This window comes from Homo sapiens, chromosome 4, assembly GCF_000001405.40.
Source record: "Homo sapiens chromosome 4, GRCh38.p14 Primary Assembly".
Taxonomy (NCBI): Eukaryota; Metazoa; Chordata; class Mammalia; order Primates; family Hominidae; genus Homo; species Homo sapiens.
Window position 1 is genome coordinate 161,489,600 of NC_000004.12, and position 19,693 is coordinate 161,509,292.

At 31.4% G+C, this 19,693-nt stretch overlaps 1 protein-coding gene across 4 annotated transcripts in view; it reads right to left on the reverse strand.

Moving 5' to 3' along the window:
* FSTL5 (follistatin like 5) overlaps window positions 1-19,693 on the reverse strand; it is a 780,104-nt gene that overhangs the window by 105,703 nt on the left and 654,708 nt on the right. For all 4 annotated transcript variants that reach the window (NM_001128428.3, NM_001128427.3, XM_011532126.1 and 1 more), the window contains one exon: window positions 10,417-10,535. In NM_001128428.3, the coding sequence (NP_001121900.1) occupies window positions 10,417-10,535 (119 nt within the window). The remainder of the gene's footprint in view (window positions 1-10,416; window positions 10,536-19,693) is intronic.

The window sequence follows — 19,693 nt, forward strand, 5'->3', positions numbered from 1 at the left end:
AGGAGCAGTGATTTTCTTTCTTTAACTTGTGGCACACAGCACAATTAGTAGATTGGTTAGTGAGGGAAAAAAATTAAAACTAAAGAAAATAATTACCACATAACACATGAAGTTAACTGACCCCCAACTATTGATTAATAAATTCTTATCATTGAAAAATCAATAAAATATTTGTTTTAAATGCCCAAAGTACACCTTTCTGTACAATTTTCCTGACAATAGATATTCAACCTTTTCATTAAACTTTGAAAAGAGGGAGTTTAGGATACTTTGTTAATGCAGCTTTTAAAACATGGCTGCAGGAATTAAAATGCAGAATTTTTTTTGTACTTCAGTCCTATCTTGTAGAATTCATTTTCGCAGCCTGATTTTTCATTTAGTGGGTATTTTTTATTTCAAAATCTGCATTATATTTGCTTTATTCATATAAGTGGAAAACAGAGACATGAATTCTGTTGAAATAAAAATTCTAGTTATTAAAAGACATTTTATATGAATTCTAGTTGGATTTAATTCACTCTGATCCTCTGAATTTCTAATATTATTGTGGAATAAATTTCATTATTTCTTGTCATTACAAATCCATAAAAAATCGAAAACAAACTTTTAAGGAAAAGCATCATACAGTTTGAAGATGGAACATCCGATATAATACAAGTTCTCCTTTCTCCCCCTTAAATGTTTCTCTCTCCTTTTAGTAATGACACATGAGTTCTGATAACACATGTTGTACAATTTCTATTTTTGGAAACCTTAGTTGAAGAGTGAGACAGGTTTTATTAATTACTTTTCTAGATATGCATATGTAGCCTTTCCCTGTGATTATCTCACTCTGCCTACTAACTAAAAAATGTTGACATGGAAGGATAAATCAGGTGGATTTTGTGACTGCTGGATTATCCACATTTGATTCAGTACAGTATATCACTTAGGAATAAAACTTTTTTTTTTCCTGTGGCACATAATCTTACAATACAGATGGTGCTTAGTTCTTGCATCTTTCCATATTGTCTAGCACAGAAGTGCCTTATATGGAACAAAGGCTTAACAGGTTTACAAGACTACTATTGACTGAAAAAATTACTCTGAAATGCAATCAATTTATCTTTAAAAACTATAAATGTTTTACAGAGATAATTATATGTGTTTAATTTTTAAGCATTACTGTAATTCACACATAAATTTGTTCTACATAAGAATGACTACAAAGAGCTTCGCATTTGATTTCTTACAGTTATGTGGTAAAATAATATTGGACAAAGAATTGTTATACATGTATACCATTGCTATGTTTTATCAATTAAAGGAAAACCATAAAAAAGATTTGTTTTTTAAAAAAATCTTTTTAAATCTTTAGAAATAAGTGTTACTTAAAGACTTTAGCTCTGTACCTACCTTCATTTTACATGAAAACAGAAATAAAAGGCACGTTATCTTTGTCCATTACATTTATAACTATATATTTATTATCATATTTTATAAAATATTACATTTCATCTGGGCTCTTTTTTACTAAAAATTTAAATAGGGTTCCAGGCCACATTATCCATTTTAGGAAAATTTTTCAGAGTAAGAACTTGAAAACAATATTGAGAATTCACAAAACCTGAGCCGGTGATTTAGTTCAAGGTCCACCGTTAGAAATATATACAGATTATATAATCAGTATGCTATTATTTAATTCTATCTTTTAATTTTTCAAATAAGTTCAAAAGGGAGCTATCGGCTATTAGATATCTTTTGTGAAATTATATTACCTACTGTTTAGTGAAAATCACAGATTACAGAGTTAAGTTTTGAATGTAAATGATACTAGATACATAGATTTTTAAACATATAATCTCATTCTCCTTTGCTCCTATCATAAGGAGCTAATTTTTCACTTTAAAATAGAGATGGGATAGAACTGATCGCTTCTTTTTCAGGATGGAAGCAATAACACTTAGGAGACAGCCAACAGGCTGGGCATGGTGGCTCATGCCTGTAACCCCAGCACTTTGGGAAACTGTGGTGGGCAAATCACCTGAGGTCAGGAGTTCAAGACCCGCCTGGTCAACATGCTGAAACCCCGTCTCTACTAAAAATACAAAAATTAGCTGGGCGTGGTGGCACGCCCTTGTAATCCCAGCTACTGCAGAGCTGAGGCAGGAGACTGGCTTAAGCCCCAGAGGCAGAGGTTGCAGTGAGTTGAGAACATGCCACTGAAATCCAGCCTGGGCAACAGAAGGAGACTCTGTCTCAAAAAAAAAAAAAAAAGAGAGAGAGCCAGCAAATAGGTCCCATTCCCCATTCCAGCAGAAACACCTTGGTAGAGTTTTCAGGCAATATAGTTCTGCTGCCAGTAGTTGCACCCTTCAAATGTGTTTTATGTTACATTTTCTTTAAAGCTGTACAAATGAGATTTATAATAGGATTATACAATATGCAGCCACATGTCAATTTCATCTCCATTTTATCCTTCTATATCTTTAAAACAGCCTAGTTTCCTGATCTTTTGAAAAATATTTAAATTAGGAGAAATTCAGTAGTATTATTTCCTTTTTTGTGTCCTCAGTGTACATCTGTCTACAAGGGCAACCATTACACTTGAGTGTGCTTAAAATTTATGTATCTGTTATGTTATAATTTTCTCTCCCCTGCCTATCACAATGCTTGACACAAAGCAAATTCCAAATATGGATAAACTAGTAAACAAACCTCAGTGCACGAGTGATAGTTTGGAAGTCAATATTAAATGGGTCAAATTTAGATCTCATCTGTAAACTACTGTAGAGGTATACCATGAAATGTTTATTTTAAAATATAGCCAGAAACATAAATGTTATGTATGTCTATTATTAACTTTTAGTATAACTTTCTGTTAACATGTATATATGCATATAAATGTAATATGTATTTACATGAAAACAGCAGCTGCTTTAATTCTATTGTTTTCTAAAATTAAAAAATAGGTAGATAGCATAGCTCATGGTACAACTATGTTGTTGTTTGGCAAGTTCTAGAGAAATATTGACTCTGCCACTAATTTGCCAAACAACCCATCATATGTCTTCTAAAATTGAATCAACAACATTTTGAAAATAAATGACTAACATAGAAAAAACGAGTTGTAATGGGCAATAAGTCGGTAGCTTAAGTACTTAAAATACGAATGATAATTTTGAAGTTTAAGCTATTTTCATTGTAATTCTTATTATATAATTCTTTCTTAATTTCCATGTGGACAACATGGTATATAAAATAATTATATAGTACATGGAGAATGTAAATATATTTTTAAATACTGAAGAGTTAATTTTTAATATTTACCAATACAAACATTTAGTAAAATAAAATTGAAACACTATTTCCTGTAGTATGTTGTCCTTCCCTCACCACCTCCAAACTGATATTTGTGACTTTTTTAAAATATGGAAAAAAATTTAAAGAAATGGATGTCTTCACTGTTAAATTGAAATTGTGAGAACTATTGTTGAAATATCAAAAGTAAACAATGAGAAATTAAGCCAGTGTTCAGAAACTTATAGTTAAATGAAAAGTTTTAGAAATGTTGAGAAAAATAAAAGATAAAGATTTAATCATTAAAATTGTAAATCTAATCCATGAGTATGCAAAATAATTATATATATTTCAATATATTTAGAAAGAAAAAGTTATTAGAATTGTATAAGCAAAATTATTGTCTCTCATAGAAGAACACGAACAGATAATATTTAATATTGATAATACAAGAAATATCATCACTAACTACCTTTTTTTAGTGACTAAATGTAGCAATTGATTGTATGAGCTGGAACTAGACATAGGGGGACATGAAGGAATAATCTACTATATTTTATAATAAAATCTTTTATTTTATTTTATATTTGCCGTGAATATATATTACCTTGAAAAGATAGGTACTTTTTTGTGTTAAAATAAATCTTAGATGAAAAGACTAAGTATTCTTTAAGACACATCTAATATGATAGATTTGTGTGATTTTGTAAATCTCAAGTAAAATGTTTTGATGTTTAAATATATTTGTATCAATATTTTTTTCCATCAAAATCTTCAATTTTACCTTTAGGAAGTTTCTGTTGAAAAATCTAAATAACCTTAAACACGTTTATTTGTAAAGCGTGCGGAATGCACTTTTACATGTGTATAAGTGAGCCCTTATTAGTCATATAAAAATGTTGTCGATGTATTATCTGAGACACACAACATTCTGATGGTATTCATCCAAACACCTTGGCTACTTGTTATCGATAATCTCTTGAAAGGACTTCATATGCTATTTGGCCCACTTAATAATGCTATGTAACTCCATTAGATTTATAAGCTTTCCACTGTTGTTACCCCCAATTTTAGGCTTACATATTAAAGCTTAAGAGAAACACGAAGTGAGAATTATAAAACAGTGTGATTACTAAGGAAGCTTTATAAGACCTCTTTACATCTACGATGTCAAGCACCGATTTCTTAAATTCATTTCTTTTTAAATCTACAGAATAATCTTCTAAGGAATAGTTAGAAGTAGTTTACATTCCTCTCTTCAGGAAGCTCTTTGCAGGATATCATTGTCACCACAAAGGGAATAAAGCTCACATTTTTATCACTGTATAACTCTCTGTAAGTTAAGCCATGTTTGAAAAGAGACACCCTGAGAAAAAAAAATAAGTGGGGAAACATTTTGATTCCCTTTCTGAAAGACAGTGGTGTTGTATTCAAAAGGTTACTCACTGGCTTCATGGGGAAATGAATTGTTTGCATCATGTAAAGAGGCTGGTATTTCAAATGACTATTTTTGAGGACCAAGTTTGCAGAAGTATAAGTGGACTAGAAACAGAACAAGGGAATTGATGAACACCCTGAAGGCTGCTTTGTTTGAGATAAAGGACAACAACAGCAGAGAAAGAAATGTGGACCATTGAGCTTCCCAATTTCTAATCTCAGTTTCAATTTCTTGAAACGTAAGTATTCTGGACATTACAAACAACCTGTTCCTAAGCAAGAATTCTTTTCTAACAGACTGGTAACAGTAGTTTATAAAGGTAAAATAATTTTGGTTTGTGGAAATGCCAAACCTGGATAACAGACATTTTAGAGGAGACTTACATCAGACTCCCTGTATAAAGTATAATGAGTTCAGTTCTACAGTTCAGTATCATTTAAGTTAGCACTAAAACCAGGAATAGGCTGGCTGAGGTGTCTCATGGCTATAATCCTAGAGCTTCAGAGGTTAAGTGAGGAGAATCTCTTGAGCCCAGGAATTAGAGACTAGCCTGGGCAACCTTGCGAGGCCCTGTCTCTACAAAAAATTGAAAAAAATTAATCAGATTCAGTGGTGTGCACTTGTAATTTCAGCTACCCATGAGGCTAAGGTAGAAGGATCACTTGAGCCCAGGAACTTGAGACTGCAGTGAGCTACGAATGCACCACTGCACTCCAACCTGGGCGAATGAGTGAGATCCTGTTTCAATAAAACAAAACAACAACAACAACAACAGATAAGTAATAGATCTTTCAGGTTCCACAATATAAGACATATGCATAATAAGACACGTGGTTTTCTTTAAAGTTATTTTAGGACCCATTAAATAATAAGTAATACCATGGCATATGTGAAAAGCAGCAGCTAGATCTATAACAAGCAAAGAAGGTGGCTGAATGTAAAAGTATCAAAGAATAAAAGAGTGATAGATAAGGATGGAACAGTAGTAGAAAACCAGAAGAGTGACAAAGTTGGTAATCTTGGGAAAGCTTGTTTTTGAGCCTGTAATTTTAAACATTTTTCCAAACTCCTTTTCAGTTTGACTTCTGAATCCATAAGTCTGAAATAGAATTCTATTTGCTTGAAGTTCATACTCCAGGTGACAAGATGAAATCATGTGTACAACTAGGATAAATATAGAAATAATCGTATCTAGTAAAGCTACATAACAAGATGGAATAAAAGATGAAAAATAGCTAAAAGTTTGTTGTATATATCCTCACCAACTCACTATCAAAAGCTGAAACCTAATGTAATCTGACATTGCACCAAAATTGAGTTTTTATTTACAGCAAGCAAATACCATTTTCTGAGAGATTTGATTCTATACTCTAAATATATCAGGTCTTATCTAAACTTTACTGATCAATGAGTTATATTGGGAAGTATACTACTACTCTCTCTTAATGTCGACCATGAATTTGAAAAATATTATATTCATATTTAATCCCTTTTCATGGGAAAAATGGTTCCAAAAGACTCATTTCCACCACTGGTACTCAGGAAATCTGTCTTCTAAAATGAAACACATTAGCGTTTTTTCTGTACTAAAAACTCATATACAGTGCATTTACACAGGAACTTTTCACTGTGTAATCCTGAATTAATAGATCCATGAGGTTAGAGTCACTCTGAAACAATTCAATAATAAATTACTCTATGAAACATTTTTCACAAACACATTGAAAGAAGAATACTGTTTCATGGCAATTGCAAATTAAGGAGAAATACTAAGGTGGAGAGAGAATTAGATGTATACATTTTTAAACTTAGAGAATGCATAAAACGATGAATAGCTAAGGCTCAAAGCAATGGAATTTTTGTTAAATTCATTTAACAAATGTTTCTTGGCCTGTCATATGTAAGACATTGTACCGAGCATGTTGAGAATACAAACACTAATCAAACTTAATCCTTGACTACAAGTGATAGGAAGATGTGATGGTTGATTTATATGTCAGCATGGCTAGCCTATGGTGCCCAGTTGTTTGGTCAAACACTCGTCTAGATTTTGCTGTGAAGATGCTTGTGAGGTGATTAGCATTTATAATTAGTTGACTTTAAGTAAACAGATTACCCTCCATAATGTTTATGGGCTTCCTCTAATCAGTTGAAGGAATTAAGAGCAAAGACTAAGGTTTTTTCAAAAAGAAGGAATTCTACCTTAAGACTTCAACATAGAAATCCTGCTTGAGTTTCCAGCCTGCTCTATGAATTTAAGATTCAAGACTACGACTTCAACTCCTGTGTAGGTTTCCAGACTGATGGCCTCAACAGTAGATTTTGGACTTAGGACTGCAACATCAACTCTTATCTGAATTTCCTGCTGCCTGGCAAACCCTACAAATTTTGGACTTGACATATCCCACCTGCAGTTGTGTGAGCCGATTCCTTAAAATAAAACTCTCTATATAGGAGATAGATAGAGAAAAAGATAGAGATAGAGATAGAGATAGAGATAGAGATAGAGATAGAGATAGAGATCAAAAGAGAGAAATAGAGGGAAACGTGGCGACAGAGGTAGTGGTAGCAGTAGAGGAACAGACAGAGATAGAAATGGAGAACTTATTGATTCTGTTTTTCTGGATAAATATTTTCTGATTGCATAATATTCAACAAATTTCTCACGAAATTACTTTGGAATTAGAAATATATTATTAAGAGAATGTAGCACTAAATAGCTTCCACACTCTGAATTGCCATCTATCTTGTTTTTAAATGTAGAAAATATTACCTTCATGTAAAAATTATTTAGTTCAACACTTATTCTCAAAGCATAACATGATCAATGCGCTTCTCATTCTATTGCTGTATACTTGCATGTACATGACAGTATTTGTGTATATATATTCCAATTATTTAAGCTTATTTTACATTAAGGAATGAAAAATGACAGAGTAATATAAAATGAGTTTAATTTACTCTAGCCTTTTTTCATATATGTGGCATATAATAATTACATAAGAAATATCTTTCATGTCATGAGTTTCTCCATATATTCTGTATTTAAAAATCATAAGCGGAAATTAGTTATAACAATTCCCTTTTTAAATATTATTCTTAGTTCTTTACAAAATGTTGGTCACCTTAAATTTTGAGCTGTATTTTAATTTCAACATCCAATGCAGTAAAAATGTCATAAATGTTTTCAAAACCAAAATACTATTTGATAGTTTTCTCCTTTCTTAAAAATGCAACAGGCTTTTCTTTTTAATCCTTTTATTACTCTTCCATAAGAGTACAGAAACCTTTATAAACTTTTTAATATAGTATAAGAATGCAAACTTTCTATCCTTGCATGTATTTTTATGTTGAAGTATATGTTTCTAGAATAACTTCATATTCTATAATATTTATCTCACATGCAATATGACTGTAGATTTCCAGGGGCTGTGACTTTAAAAATCTGATATAGCAGATTAGTTATTAGTAACTAGTTATCTCTACTTTGTCGCCGTTGGTGTATGTTTGTGGATAAGGGTTCACTGTTTGAAGAAAATAAGTTAAAGTTGTCATCATTCATATTTGGTTTCTATTTCCTCTTTAATATTTAATTTCTTATCAGAAAATTATACATAGTTTGCATATATAATTTTTCTCTGTATCTATTAATATATTATGTATATTTATTTCTCTATGTATGCATACATAAACATATATGTATACATAGAGACCTGGATACATCACATTGCTTTGTCCTACATCTCTATGTCTCTATGTATGTATATATACATATACATATATATGTATACATAGATAAATATACATATTTAATTGGATACATAGAGAAATAATATGTGTATACATAGAGAAATAAATATACACAATTCTACATTGTTTTTCTTTAGTTGTTTTAGGAGGACATCTGAGTATTATAAAGCTTTAAAGAGAGAGAAATGCAGGTAAATAATGCTCACATCCTTGTTGCCCTGACATGTTGCAAAACTGTCACATCAAATTTTTGCTTGTTTTTTTAACTTGAGATTCCAAGTGATTAAATTAACTCACCCAGAGCTGTCAAGAAATGTTCTGGGAAAGCATGCTCTTTAAGACTTGAGTCACATAGTAATGAAGCATTTACTGATACCCTGAAATAGCACACATGTGGTGCAGGAAAAATATTCTTTGTCTCTAAATTTGCAAATCAGATTCCTGAAGTGATAGTTTTGTGATGAAGAGTATGGATTTCACAGCCTATCTTATTAGTATTAGTAATTGAAGTTTCAAATTCTGTGATATAGCCAAGACATGTGTGTCGTTAGCTGCAAAACTGCTAGTCCTGTAGAAATCAGAGAGAAACACTCTCCTATAAAATTATTTTGCTCTGATTTAAATAATAATATTTGTATTGAACACCACACTACCTATATCTGCATGTTAGTCCATATTTCTTATTCAGAATATTTTTGTAAGAATATGAGTGTGGCTTAAATTATTTCTTTTATCAGCAATAATTTGTTTTTATTCATGTGCTTATGTATTACATACATATATGCACATAAACACAACTTATTCAAAGACTGACTTAATAATGATAACGTTTAAGATTATAAAAGAAAATAGGGCCGAGTGAAGTGGCTCATGCCTCTAATCCCAGAACTTTGCGAGGCCGAGGAGGGTGCATCACGAGGTCAGGAGTTCGAGATCAGCCTGGCCAACATGGTGAAACCACCACGTCTCTATGAAAAATACAGAAATTAGCTGGGCTTGGAGGCACGCGCCTGTAATCCCAGCTACTTGGGAGGCTGAGGCAGGATAATTGCTTGAACCCAGGAGGCGGAGGTTGCAGTGAGCCGAGATCACTCCATTGCACTCCAGTCTGGGTGACAGAGCAAGATTCTGTCTTAAAATAAAATAAAATAAAATAAAATTCCATGTGCAATTTAAGATTTTTTACATGTATAATTAAGTTATAACTTAACCAAAATGGTAAGAATTTTACTTAATAATTTAGCCTATGGCTGAAATATTTTTAAATAAAAGGACATTAGATTTCTTTGTCCTACAAAATATCCAGGAGGAAACTGACCTCCTGGTCATTATCTCCTCTCATAATGTTTTTCCTTTTTTTCATTCTAGGGCATAGATTTAAGGTATAAATTATTGTCTCCATGTATTAGTATATGACAGCAACACTGCCTACTGGTAGGCTGAAATGAGGATTTGAAAAAATTTGATATTTTCCCTTATTTATCTGAATTGTCCATTCCAATGAGACCTCATGAAGAATGAGATGAAGAATAAAAGTGGTTTTACATTTATAAAGCATCTAATATACACCAGCTTCCCACCAGATTATGTACAGGATATTTTATTTTATTTTCTTAAATATAACCTACAAATACAGGAGGTATTCTAAATTGGAGAGCAGGCAAAGCTATTGCAGGTCGTGCTCATCCCTGGTATTTCACTTTTCTTACCTTCATTTTAGCAAATTCTTAGGAATACATAATATATTAGCAAATTCTTAGGAATACATAATATATTATTTTCCTCCTCAGATATAAAACCTAAAAAGAATAACACCGAATATCATGGGTTTCATAATTTTCTTCCAACACGAGTCTCATATATGTATAGGTTTTGTTATATTTCCAAAACGTAATTCTACTTAACAAAATTTCTGCATAAAACGTCAAAGGAACTTTTTAGATACTTGCCTGAAATCCAAGGAGCTTTTCACTAGGCTTAATGTGCCTCTGAAATTCACATTCTATGGGTTGTATCACTTTGATTCCATCTTCATAAAAAACATAGAACATGTTCCCAATTCCCAGACCTTAGGAATAAAAACACATTTAAATGTTCAAAATATAATTATCATAAACCTTTACAACCAAAATTCAGTGCCTCTCATATCTTTAGCAGGAGACCAATTTTCGAAGTTGTGTAATGTTAATAAAGCAAACCATATGGGACCCTTACTGTATACTCGCACCACTTTGTGATATTATGCAGACATTACACTTCATTCTTCCTGTGCTGCAGTTTAGTGGTTTCTTTAATATAATTAAATAAATGTTTCATAGTTTAAAACAGTTATAAATAGGGATATAAACTCTTGATACATAGATTATCTTGGATACCTTCCCCACTTAATGTACATGTTGATTAAGGAGTAAAAGTACTTTCTGAAGAATCAAATTTGTTTTACTACTTTTATTAGAGTTCACTAGGAAAAGTTTAATTTCTTTGCAGGAGTTTGGTTTATATAAAGATTTTTAGGAAGAAAAAGACCAAATGCCCTAGATTTTGTAGAATATAAATTTTCTTAAACTAATTTTTGTCAAAATAATTCTAAATAGAGGTCTTACATATTAGTTTTAATATTGGCAATTTGGGAAGTCTATTTCTATACCTCAAAACAAATTAAGGTATCTGAAAAATCTTAATTTAATGTTTAAATCATACTTTTCTTTTTCACACTACGGATCTGGATGTGTGGTGTCTCAGAAATTCATCTCCCCCCACTTTCTAAATCCATGTCTAAATGGGTGCAGGAGGCTAGTTTGAAACCTGTGTAGGTTAATCAAAGCCTGAGCCCAGGGAACTTCCACATACTCATGAACACCTGTTCTCTTTGTTTCCTCTGCTTCTCCCCTGTTCCAATGTGGCCAGCCCTGAGCTCTTGTAATCCTTCCTTTTCTGGTCCTTGCCTATATAGCTCTTTTGACCTGTTATATTGGTTTACACAGTCAAATTTATTCAGTATAATTATATCTTACATAATTCAGTGATAGCATGTTCTCTTTAAAAGACAGCAATAATATTAAAATCTTGACTGGAAAATCAAACCATTGTTCTTACAATGTTTACATTCTAAAAACATCTGTAAAGAGAAAGATAATTTATTTAAATAAAAAATAATTTTCTAAGCATTATTAATTTTTTTCAATTGTGATCTCCTGGAAGATTCAGCCTGGGCTTTCCATCTATTGAGAATCACAAAAACAGTTTGTTGATTTGTAAAAAATATGTGTTTATTGAACTTCAGTCATATTTAATCTTACATCTTATATGTTTCTAGGGAATAAATAGTCAACAATTTTTCCCATATAACTATGTATCCATATATTCCTAAGATTTAGAGAAAAATGTATATAAACTAAACTATTACTTTATTCATGTTTATATATAGTGTGCATACAATTTTTCTTTTAGCACATGAAATTATTTATAATAATACATATACACTTTAAATTACTCCAGGTTGTTTGATACATCTTATTATTTTATAAATAATTCTCAGTACTTCTATTTTAATAGATGTAATCTTTAATAGTTAATTATCCATTATAATTCCAGAGAGCAATGCATAAAGACGGAATATTCCTGAACAGAAGCAGAAGTGGCAAGCAATAGACTCAAGTCACGTTTTATATAAAATAAAATTTAGTAGTTGTCAGCTATTATTTATAATCATAGTTGTGTTTAAAGGAATATAAATATTACATGCACAAAAGAGAAAGCCGAAACAAAGCACATAAGTATTTATGCCAAAGCTTTTTGATTTGTATCAGCAAAGCCTCCATGTAAACATTAACATATAAATAACTATCAATTTAACATTATTGGTTTCTGAATACTGTTGTTGAAACTTATGAACATAACAAAACCATAATGTGGTGTCTGATTTTCATTTGTGTCTGTTACATACTATGTTTGATTTTTATTACTAAGCTCTTAACATTTTTCAGTGAATATGACTACCCTTCTTTAACTTTGCCAAAATACTGTTCGAAAATTATGAATTTGAATGTGTTTGGGCCTGACAACTACTTTAAGTCCAGATTGTTTGTCATGTTTCTTGAAATATTTCCTTCCCTTACCACTATGCATACTTTTATTAGGTTGTTTTACCATATTCTACACAGAAAAGAGTCAGTGGGATTCCACTATGATTTGTTGCACTGGTGGAATTTGTGAGCTATATTTTCCACTAAATACCACTTAATCCATCCAAATTACTCTTTCAGGTTCTAGAGCATATTTTCTTGTCTTTTAAAATATGAATTACACATGAACGTTTTTACAAAGCATAAACTACTTTTCAGGTTACAAGTTACTGAAGAAATACAGATATTATTAGTCAAGATTTAGTTTTTTATTTGACTGTTTTCAATGAGAATATAAATTCTTAGTGCTTATGAAACAGTAATGCCAACAAATTACTAAATACAACTAGATTAATTAAAATAGCGATTATAAAATAAATGCCTATATACTGGTAACTCAGCTTATGAAATAAAACTTTTCCACTACCTTTAATGGTCTCTGCGAGTCCTCCTCATTCATAAGACTAGATATTTTGCCATTTACATTTTTGCAAGGCATTATTTTCTTCCTCAAAAGTTTTATTTAGAATTTTTGCAGCAGAATTTATGATCTGAACATATGACCTGATGTGTTTCTCTTTCAATTTGCTGCTTTGATATTGTGCACATATAAATTTATTAAGATTATCCTCAGCAAAGAGGAATATAAATGACCTGATGATGGAGATGTTGGAAACTGAAGACACAATGCACATTTTCATTGGGGACATTCATTAGCTTTATGTGTAAAAAGAAAATAATATATTTGTATAGATTTTTACTAACTACTAAATTTATATATATTATATTTTTTGACAAGTGTAGGGATGAGAAAATATGACAAAGAGGGATGATAAATTTCATTCTCTGCATTCAGACAGATCAGAGGCAAATAATAGCTATAGCACTTACTCTTTTACCGTGAGAATGTTAGACAGTGTGATAATTTCCCCATATCAAATTTAAAGATAATAATTATACTATGTCATGCAGCTGTTGTAAAATTTCCATTAGTTAGAGAATGTAAAATATTTAGCAGAGTAACTCACACACAGCAAGATTTCAAAGAAATGGTAACCTATTTATTTATGTTTTGCAGGTATCTATTCATTATAACACTACTGAAAAAAGCAAATGGTGACATGATATATAACCAGACTTTGATAACTATTCTCATTTCTCCTCAAACCCATATATGCTAAATTTTAATTTTCTATGATATAAAATTTTAAGTTCTGTTTTCCCAGAATCCTTGAGCCAGCTAAAAGATCAACTTTATTTTCTAGTAAAGCATTTCTTAAATTTGGCATATATGCATGTGTGATACACATGTGTGTGCATAGATATAATTATGTATGATTTCAACCAATGCCATTTATTATGAAAACAAATATTCTATTACATTATAACATTTGCCTTGCTAATTAGTGTGTGAAGTTAATAATGAAGATTTCCATTCAGTGTTTTTCAATACACCTTTGGAAGTTAAGGAGATTGTATACTTACTCAAAAGGACTGGTTTTAGATAATATCACTCTGGCCAATATATATAGTGTTCAGATGGTACTCACTTCCTGGAATAACAGGGCCTAAAAAAGAGCTTGACACACTCACTCCCAAAAAACTTTCTAGCAAGAATGAATGGATAAGCAAGTCTTGTTCTAGTTGAACATAATATAAAGACTTTATTGAGGTGCAATGATATGATTTTGGGCCAAGCCCAAACTGTTTTCCTAATACTACTAAGATGTCATTCACATTTTTTCTTGTATTATTATTACTTTTAATGTAGGGTTTAGTTTTCAACAGGCTACATGAAGTAGAATGTTACGTGGGATATCACAATTCATGCAGAAGCAGATGTAAGAATCCAGCATCTTCTATTAAGCCTGAAAGCTAAAGGATTTGCAAAATGTAAACAATGTTTTACCTTTTATTTGTTTGAAAACTTAGCTTTAAAAAGATAATATGCTATTTATGGCTCCATGTAATGGGTTTATTAGGGCTATTTTAACAAGTTAATGAATGCATATTTTAAAAATTTCTATTTCCATTTCTAATACTAAATATTAGTAGATAGAGATACACCTCTCCCCAACCAAACACAAAGTTCTTTAAGTTCTCAATATTTAAGTTTGTAAAGGGGTCCTGAGTCTCAAAAAGTTTGAGTAGTGGTGATCATTACTTCTCTCTTCATGAATGCATTGTGGTGAAGTATATTACAAACATTATTGACTTCAGTGAAAGATTCTACACTACTCTAGACATGGTAAAGATCGGGAACATGTGCAGATTGTTTTTCGTTTTTGTTTTTTTTTTCCTTTTTCAAGCTCTGGTGAAGGCAGGCAAAAGCGCTTAGTCTTTTTTTTGGGTTGATTGTTAATCTAACAGAGTATAGTGACTCTAGAAGTTATCCATAATTTGTTTGTTCCTTAAGAGCTTTCTTTCTGCTTTTTCTTTCTATACACAGAAAAGACATAAGCAAGAATTACTCCTGCAGTCTTACAAGACAGAAGTATTTCCCAGAGGATTTTCTAATCAATATTGTACCCTTAAATACATGAAATGGACTGAGAAAAAAATGGATATAATGCACTTTCCTATCTCAATCCTTTGGGAATGGGAACCACTCAAGAACAGTAGTGTATTGTGAAATATAGTTATACTACCTATTATATACAGTGGATATATACTATGTAATCTACACTAGCAATACAATTTGATTAATTTCTGATCATTGGATGCATGTTTATGTGCATCATAAAAAAGATTTTGTGATGTTTTTCTTCCTCTGACTTAATTGTCATTAGTTTTGCATTCATATTATAGTCCATGAGAAGTTATAAGTGTATGATGTAGTGATTTGGTAGCCAATCAAAGGTATTTCAATAAATTACGGTGTTATACAGAATCCTTCATTTGTTGATATTATCCTTTTTACTTTCAAGTGATCCTAAAAGTATGCATATTTTTGAAATATGGAAGAAATCTCCCATCTTTAGATAAAGAATAATATAGGCAAGAATAGATTGCGTTGCATTTTCTCACTGAATAACTCAGCACGGATAGATCTTTGGTTCATGAATGTTCTCATTCACTATATCCTGACTTTGGAGATAACATTGTCTTTGTACACAGAGCAAAATCATACCATTGCACCTCAATAAAGTCTTTATATTAAGTTCAACTAGAACAAGACTTGCTTATCCTTTCATTCTTGCTAGAAAGTTTTTTAGGAGTGAGTGTGTCAAGCTCTTTTTTAGGCCCTGTTAATCCAGGAAGTGGGTACCGTCTGACCACTATGTATATTGGCCAGAGTGATAGTATCTAAAACCAGTCATTTTGAGTAAGTATACAATCTCCTTAACTTCCAAAGGTGTACTGAAAAACACTGAATGGAAATCTTCATTATTAACTTCACACACTAATTAGCAGGGCAAATGTTATAATGTAATAGAATATTTGTTTTCATAATAAATGGCATTGGTTGAAATCATACATAATTATATCTATGCACACACATATGTGTATCACACATGCATATATATAATTTAAGCCAATGTCATTATATACTTGTATGTACATGTGCACATATATAGATATCGCTACAAATGGATATCTCTTGCAAGATCAAATTTTTGATGAAAAAAATTGTAAAATGATTTAAAAAGCTTAGACTGATGTAAGTTTTTAGCAGACCAGTTAGTGAACTGGCCAGTAGAAATAACAACAGGTTGATTGTGATTTAATTTAATTGCATCACGTACTCGCCATTAGAAAGCATAGTCTTCCCCTCCCCCCAATGCCATGACTAAATCTCATGTATTCAGAAGACTTATTCTGTGAGAAGTCTTTTTCTTTTTATTTATTTTATATTATTACTTTTATAGGCCCTGTTATTTCTGAGGCAGGATATTGCTCTGTCCCTCAGTTTGGACAGTGGTGTGGGTGGCATAGAGGGCAGTGGAGCGATCACTGCAGTCTTGAGCTCCAGAGCTCAGGGATCCTCCCACCTCAGTCTTCTGAGTAGCTGGGATTACAGGCATGAGCCATCACGCCCGGCATTTTTTTTTTTTAATTTTTTGTAGAGACAGGTTTTTGCTATATTGCCTAGGCTGTTCTCAAACTCCTGGCCTCAAGCAATCCTCCCTCTTCGGCCCCCCAAATTGCTAGGATTAAAGGTATCAGCCACCACATCCTGACCTTTTTCATTTTAAATATTATTTCAGTATTATTTTGAAGTAGTAATTTTTTTAATTTTTGTTTATTTCCGTAAGTTTTTTGGGAACAGGTGGTATTTGGTTACATGATTAAGTTCTTTAGTGGCGATTTGTAAGATTTTGGTTGAACCCATCTCCTGAGCAGTATACACTGAACCCAGTTTGTAGTCTTTTATTCTTTTCTGTAAAATAATAGTTATACCAGAGGTTTTTGAACCACACTTAGAAGCTGTATTTTCGTCTGTATTTCCGAACCTCCCTGGCAGTGTACATTTTTTGTGGGTAATGAAATTTTAAATAATTTTAGGCTGAAGAAGCTAAGCTGGCCTGTTTTTAAATCTGTTTTCCCCCAACTGGATGACATTGGAAACCTTGTATTACAGATTATGAAACTAATCATGAAGTGTAATGTAATATTAACTTTGTTGTATAATTTCACTACATTTCTATTTGTAATTTTTTTGGTTTGGTGTTAGTCAAACTAAATAGTGATTTATTTTAAATGTTTCTATAACATATTTTTGTGTGAATAGATACATAAATTTAGAAAGAATAAAAAAGGCAATTTTCCTGAATACGAAACTTTTTTTCTGCTTTTAAATTATTCACATATCATATGAAGCTGGTGTTTCCCAAAGTATGTTATGTTCTACTCAATATTGATCCTGGAGATATTCATCAAAGTAATTCATGTGCCAATAAATTTTAAAAATCCCATTTTATATACTGAATCATCCTAAATCTCTCCTTGGAGATTGAAACTAGCATATGTAAAATTTATATAAATCCTTCAGTGAATCAAATAATTTAAGTAAGTATAATTCAGTGCCTATATAATCCAAAACATATATTATAAACTTTGACCTCATAACATAATCTAATTGCCACAAAATAAACATTAGAAAATACTTTATTAAATTATATTTAATTATACGTATCATAAATATACTGAAAATGAAAACAAATCATACTGAATATTTTAATGTGTATGTAAAAATACATATTAGTGCATGTATATTTAAATGTATTATATCTATAATTTAATATATAGTAAAACTACTTTTCAGTAAGAATGGTTCAGGCTTGAACCTTCTAGATTGAAAGTTTCTTTAGAGCAGATATTAGATCTTATTCATCTATGAATTTCCAATGTTTTCAATGTGTTTTAATAGGCTCTTTAAAATATTTGTCAACAAATAAGTGAGATTTTCCTCTATTAGTATTGTCATTTTATACTCCTGTAAAATTTAAAGATGAGTAGAAAGCTGAAAGTGGAGCCCAGAGAAGTAGAGGACATTGCGTTCCAAGTTTATATATTGATGAGATTGGTAAGATAATACATATTAAATTCAGTTAAATTTATTTAGATTATAAACTCTTCACTAGATTCTGATGCTCATGTTTAAAAAAATAATTTTGTAATTATTAATATAAAAATAACATAGGTTTAACATTTATAGATGAGTTCAATGGCATTATGAGAGAAATTATCATTTCAACTCTTTCCATTATTGGCCTTAAGTGACCTACATTCTAAGGTTTTATAATTGGTTCTCTCTAAGATAGATTTTTCTTGGCTATGGTAAAGAGGTAAATATATAAATATAAAACACTGCTAGAATGAAAATAAAAGTGTATCTCAGAAATATGTAGCTCATATTTATTTTATTCTAAATTGTAAAAATGAAGAGACAATTTCCTTAGAAAATTTAGTTACCTATAATTTTAATTATTTGTATGAAATACTTATACCCAATGATGGGGTTCAGTGATTCCTCAAGCCAGTCTATTTTCTCTGGTCACCATTATTACTATTAGTACATGAAATCATTTTTATTGTAATGCCTTGCCAATAATTGTGGCATTATAAAAATAACTTACAGAAGTCTGTGAATCAAAATCAAATGTGCTGTCTTTAATCTATTTTTAAAATGTTTCCTATTACAAGAAACAACAAGTACTGTTATGATAACTGTATGTAGAAAAAAAGACTTTAATAATTTACCCAAAGACGCACACTTGTTTTATGTGACTTAAAGTATCTGTAAAATGTATCATATATCTATTTTTGTCAAGCACATTTTATATGTCAAATGAAATCGTGATGCATAAGAACATTATTCTTGATGGAGAATAATTACTGAGGGTATAAATTTCCAAAAACTAACAGAATACATTTTTAAATAGAAAATAATCTGGATTTATATAATGAATTTCATCATGATTTTAATTAATCTGAAAGCTTCTATTCTATACTTTAGAGGGTGGCCTGGAGTATTGTTATTATTATGTATTAAAAATTACTACGAATTAATAATGTTCACGGTGGTTACCAAAGTTCATAGAAAGAGTTGTTCCACATACTTTAAGTTGATTTACATAGCACAGATTTGTGAGGTGAGTGCCAAATCTATTTCAAATATTGTATTGGAAGCATCTGGCTTAGCTTCCAAATTTTGTATGGCAAAGCTTCATACAAATTTTCCCAGCAATTAACCGTCAAAGCCAGATCTGTAGTACTTGGTTCAGACTTGTTAAGTGTTATTCCTTCCATTTCAATGATAAAATAAAATCAATTTTTAAAATGCTCAGAGAAATCTTGCCCAGAGAGAAGACAATATAATGAAATGTTGTTTGATAGATATTATCACTCTTGTAATCCCAGTACTTTGGGAGGCTGAGGCGGGCAGATCACCTGAGGTCAGGAGTTCATGACCAGCCTGGCCAACATGGCAAAACCCCGTCTCTACTAAAAATACAAAAATTAGCCGGGCGTGGTGGCCCGCTCCTGTAACCCCAGCTACTCGGGAGGCTAAGGCAGGAGAATTGCTTGAACCCGAGAGGTGGAGGTTGCAGTGCGCCGAGATCGCGCCGTTGAACTCCAGCCTGGGCAACAAGAGTGA